We start from the raw sequence: 5857 nt of genomic DNA on the forward strand, positions 1-5857 counted from the left end.
GCTCTGATCTTAGTTATTTCTTGCCTTCTGCTAGCTTTTGAATGTGTTTGCTCTTGCTTTTCTAGTTCTTTTCATTGTGATGTTAGGGTGTCAATTTTAGATCTTTCCTGCTTTCTGTTGTGGGCATTTAGTGCTATAAATTTCCCTCTACACACTGCTTTAAATGTGTCCCCGAGATTCTGGTATGTTGTGTCTTTGTTCTCGTTGGTTTCAAAGAACATCTTCATTTCTGCCTTCATTTCATTATGTACCCGGTAGTCATTCAGGAGCAGGTTGTTCAGTTTGCATGTAGTTGAATGGTTTTGAGTGAGTTTCTTAATCCTGAGTTCTAGTTCGATTGCACTGTGGTCTAAGAGACAGTTTGTTATAATTTCTGTTCTTTTACATTTGCTGAGGAGTGCTTTATTTCCAACTATGTGGTCAATTTTGGAATAGGTGCATTGTGGTGCTGAGACGAGTGTATATTCTGTTGATTTGGGGTGGAGAGTTCTGTAAATGTCTATTAGGTCCACTTGGTGCAGAGCTGAGTTCAAGTCCTGGATATCCTTGTTAACTTTCTGTCTCATTGATCTGTCTAATGTTGACAGTGGGGTGGTTAAAGTCTCCCATTATTATTGTGTGGGAGTCTATGTCTCTTTATAGGTCTCTAAGGACTTGCTTTCTGAATCTGGGTACTCCTGTATTGGGTGCATATATATTTAGGATAGTTAGCTCTTCTTGTTGAATTGATCCCTTTACCATTATGTAATGGCCTTCTTTGTCTCTTTTGAGCTTTGTTGGTTTAAAGTCTGTTTTATCAGAGACTAGGATTGCAACCCCTGCCTTTTTTTTGTTTTCCATTTCCTTGGTAGATCTTCCTCCATCCCTTTATTTTGAGCCTATGTTTGTCTCTGCATGTGAGATGGGTTTCCTGAATACAGCACACTGATGGGTCTTGACCCTTTATCCAATTTGCCAGTCTGTGTCTTTTAATTGGAGCATTTAGCCCATTTACATTTAAAGTTAATATTGTTATATGTCAATTTGATCCTGTCATTATGATGTTAGCTGGTTATTTTGCCCATTAGTTGATGCAGTTTCTTCCTAGCATCAATGGTCTTTATAATTTGGCATGTTTTTGCAGTGGCTGGTACCAGTTGTTCCTTTCCATCTGTAGTGCTTTCTTCAGGAGCTCTTTTAGGGCAGGCCTGGTGGTGACAAAATCTCTCAGCATTTGCTTGTCTGTAAAGTATTTTATTTCTCCTTCACTTATGAAGATTAGTTTGGCTGGATATGAAATTCTGGGTTGAAAATTCTTTTCTTTAGGAATGTTGAATATTGGTCTTCACTCTCTTCTGGCTTGTAGAGTTTCTGCCATTCTCTCTGGTTGCCCTTAACATTTTTTCTTTCATTTCAACTTTGGTGAATCTGACAATTATGTGTCTTGGAGTTGCTCTTCTCAAGGAGTATCTTTGTGGTGTTCTCTTTATTTCCTGAATTTGAATGTTGGCCTGCCTAGCTAGGTTGGGGAAGTTCTCCTGGATAATATCCTGCAGATTGTTTTCCAACTTGGTTCCATTCTCTCTGTCACTTTCAGGTACACCAGTCAGACTTAGATTTGGTCGTTTCACATAGTCCCATACTTCTTGGAGGCTTTGTTCATTTCTTTTTATTCTTTTTTCTCTGAACTTCGCTTCATTTCATTCATTTGATCTTCAATCACTGATACCCTTTCTTCCAGTTGATCGAATTGGCTACTGAAGCTTGTGCATTCATCACATAGTTCTCATGCCATGGTTTCCAGCTCCATCAGGTCCTTTAAGGACTTCCCTGCATTGGTTATTCTAGTTAACCGTTCGTCTAATCTTTTTTCAAGGTTTTTAGCTTCTTTGCGATGGGTTCGAACTTCTTCCTTTAGCTCGGAGAAGTTTGATCGTCTGAAGCCTTCTCTCAACTCCTCAAAATCATTCTCCATCCAGCTTTGTTCCATTGCTGGTAAGGAGCTGCATTCCTTTGGAGGAGGAGAGGTGCTCTGATTTTTAGAATTCAGTTTTTCTGTTCTGTTTTTTCCCCATCTTTGTGGTTTTATCTACCTTTGGTCTTTGATGATGGTGATGTACAGATGGGGTTTTGGTGTGGATGCCCTGTTTGTTAGTTTTCCTTCTAACAGTCAGGACCCTCAGCTGCAGGTCTGTTGGAGTTTGCTGGAGGCCCACTCCAGACCCTGTTTTCCTGGGTATCAGCAGCGGAGGCTGCAGAACAGCAAATGTTGCTGCCTGATCGTTCCTCTGGAGGTTTCATCTCAGAGGGGTACCCGGCTGTGTGAGGTGTCAGTCTGCCCCTACTGAGGGGTGCCTCCCAGTTAGGCTACTCGGAGGTCAGGAGCCCACTTGAGGAGGCAGTCTGTCCGTCCTTAGATCTCAGACTCCATGCTGGGAGAACAACTACTCTCTTCAAAGCTGTCAGACAGGGACATTTAAGTCTGCAGAGGTTTCTGCTGCCTTTTGTTCGGCTCTGCCCTGCCCCCAGAAGTGGAGTCTACAGAGGCAGGCAGGCAGGCCTCCTTGAACTGCAGTGGGTTCCACCTAGTTTGAGATTCCTGGCCACTTTGTTTACCTACTCAAGCCTCAGCAATGGCAGGCACCCCTCCCCCAGCCTCGCTGCCGCCTTGCAGTTCGATCTCAGACTACTGTGCTAGCAATGAGTGAGGCTTTGTGGGCGTGGGACCATCCAAGCCAGGCATGGGATATAATCTCCTGGTGTGCCGTTTGCTAAGACCATTGGAAAAGCGCAGTATTGGGGTAGGAGTGACCCGATTTTCCAGGTGCCATCTGTCACAGCTTTGCTTGGCTATGAAAGGGAATTCCCTGACCTCTTGCGCTTCCCGGGTGAGGCGATGCCTCTCCCAGCTTCGGCTCACACTCAGTATGCTGCACCCACTGTCCTGTACCCACTGTCCAGCAAGCCCCAGTGAGATGAACCCAGTACCTTAGTTGGAAGTGCAGAAATCACCCATCTTCTGCGTCGCTCACGCTGGGAGCTGTAGACTGGAGCTGTTCCTATTTGGCCATCTTGGAACTGCCCACGGTATAGAAATTTCTAAAACTTATTCATCTTGCATAACTACAACTGTCTATCCTTTGACTAATACCTGTTTCCTTCTCCCTTCTAACCCAAATCTTTGGCTATCACCATTCTTTTCTCTGCTTCTATGAGTTTGACTTCTCTCTGCTTCTGTGAGTTTATATTCCTTATATAAGTGGGACCATGTAGTATTTGTCCTGTGTCAGTCTAATTGATACAATTCTTAAAACAGCAAAGAACCTAGTTTGTTTTTCTCCCTACAGTTCTATTTTCAGTTTACTTTATTACTTTTATTTCAGTTTACTTTTATTTTATTATAGTTCTTTCAGTTTATTATAAAGAATTCAAACAAGTGTAGAAAATTGTACAGTTAACAGATACTCACCACCTAAATTCCACATTTAACATTTTAGAATATTTGCTTTATCACTTATCTATCCATGTATCAACCCTCTTCTCCCCTCCATCCACTTACACCTTCTACATTTTGATGCATTTTAAAGTTAGTGATATCAGATTACTTTCCCAATTCTCACACTTCACACATAACGATGGCCCAAGATCAATATCCAGGAAGTAATGAGTAAAGGTTTACAACAGATACCTATTAAGTCCCTATGTGCTACATACCTGAGATACAAATAAGTGAGCTTCAAGGCCAAAACAGCAAGATGTCCAACACTGCCAAACACTTGCCAACACAAACATCCTCTCACCCTCCTTCAAACAGTGAAGATGCTGAGCTGTCCATTTATAGCATCATTTGTTCTTTCACAGCTGCTTATAGAAAGTGCAGTTCTCAGCTTCAGACACTGAAGTCCAATGAATCAAACATAATGAGTCTGACATGTCACTGACTAAAACCCAGGCAAAATGCTGTGGGTTCCACACCATTGCCTCAATTAAAGTCATGTCTTAGATTTTCATTATTTTGTTGCTATAGACACTTTAACAAATTGTTGGACGTTATGTTTCCATTAAAAGTTTTCTTTGTGCTTTTCCTGTTTTCTCAGGATTCACTGGTAAATATCTTCAATGATATCATCTCCCAAAAGTAAAGTAGGTTTGAAGATAATAAAAATAACTTAAATATTTTAACATGTAATATTAATACACAAAGTCTTATATAATGTAAACCGCAGTATTGTATACATTCCATTGTTATCCTCCCCTTCACATTTTTAGGTATATAAAAAATTGTAGTTGTCATCATCACCATTTTACAAATGAGAAGACGGAATATCAGACAGATTAAGCCTCAGAGGTGATAAGCTATGGATCTGGAGTTCAAAGGCAGGCTTCTAGCTCCAAATCCCATAATTTTCCCTCTGCATTTGATGTAAGAATAAAATAAAAGTGTTTGGGGCAATGAATAGTTCAACCCTATGTGAAATGTATAGCTTTGACACACTAACTCAAAGTGTTAAATATGTATTGTATTTCATGTGCATGTATGCAGATATGTTGTGTGTGCATGTTACACATGGATTTAAGTATATATACACCCATATGTAACAGAAAAATCATTTGGACAGTTTCTTCCATGTCACAAGTTTTGTGCTAAGGGCTTTACAAATATTTTAATTTCATGCTCAGAGAACCCTTGTGTGTTGAGTATTATTACCCCTAAGGTACAAAGAAAACTGAGGCTCAGTGTAATTAGGCAATGTGCTCACTGTTGCACTGATAATATGTAGCCAGGACTGTCTGGCTACAAAATGCATGCTCTTGAGCATAATACAATAGTCAGTGGAATCATTTTGAAACACTAGCTAGAAGAAAATTGAATAAGTGTTCACATATTACATTTGTGTATCTATTGCCAAAAAATTGTTAAATTGAATTTTAAAAAGAGGCATGGTCATTGTCTTTGTTTACTCATTTATTTATTATTTATGCCAGGAACATGTTTCAAGCTGGTGATGATGTGATAAACATGACTAGGATGGTCTGACTTCAAGAAGCTTGAACTCTCATGGAGAATGCTAGCAAATAATAATTTTTTAAAAAGCTAAATTTTTCTCTAGACCTGCTTCACATACCCTATTTTTCAGTTGTTAGTGACTCTGTCTTTCCAGAGGTTCATCTTTGGAGGCATCTTTGATTCATTTTTCTTAGCCTTATAGTTTGTCAACTAATACTGTTAGCTCTACCTACAAAATATATTTATAATCCAAACTTTTTTTTTCATAATTCGAACATTTATTTCTGATTCTGCTGCTACTACCCTAGTCCAAGTCACAATAATCTCAAGCAGATTACTACAATATTCTCTTAAATGGCTTCACATTTACCTCCCCCCAGTCTATTCTCAACACCACAATTAGAAGGATCCTGTTAAAACTGTAAATAAGATCCATTCATCTGCTCACAATGTTGGTAGCTACCAATTTCCCTCAGGAGAGAAGCAGAAGTCCTCAATCCAATTAAAATATGGGTGAATGATCTCAATAGTTGTATCTCCAAGTAAGATATAAAATGGCTGACAAGTACATGGAAAGATGTTCATCATCATCAGCTGTCAGGAAAATGCTTATCAAAACCACAATGATACCACTTTATACACACTAGGATGGCTCGAATCAAAAAAGACAAATAAAAAGTACTGTCAAGAATGTGGCAATGCCAGGCGTGGCGGCTCACGCCTGTAATCCCAGCACTTTGGGAGGCTGAGGCAGGCAGATCACAAGGTCAGGAGTTTGAGACCAGCCTGACCAACACGGTGAGACCCCACTGCCCCTAAAAATACAAAAATTAGCTGGGCATGATGGTGCATGTCTGTAATCCCAGTTAC

General features: G+C 40.0%; 1 annotated feature.

Moving 5' to 3' along the window:
• Window positions 3859-4028: an enhancer, noted in NCBI's record as "experimental_48020 CRE fragment used in MPRA reporter constructs". NCBI's record gives its function as "activates a minimal promoter by MPRAs in K562 erythroleukemia cells, with activity observed for both the introgressed and non-introgressed 18:51507096 variant alleles {active_cell/tissue: K562}" and the evidence as "EXISTENCE:reporter gene assay evidence [ECO:0000049][PMID:34662402]".

The sequence above is a fragment of the Homo sapiens genome, chromosome 18 (genome assembly GCF_000001405.40).
Source record: "Homo sapiens chromosome 18, GRCh38.p14 Primary Assembly".
NCBI lineage: Eukaryota > Metazoa > Chordata > Mammalia > Primates > Hominidae > Homo > Homo sapiens.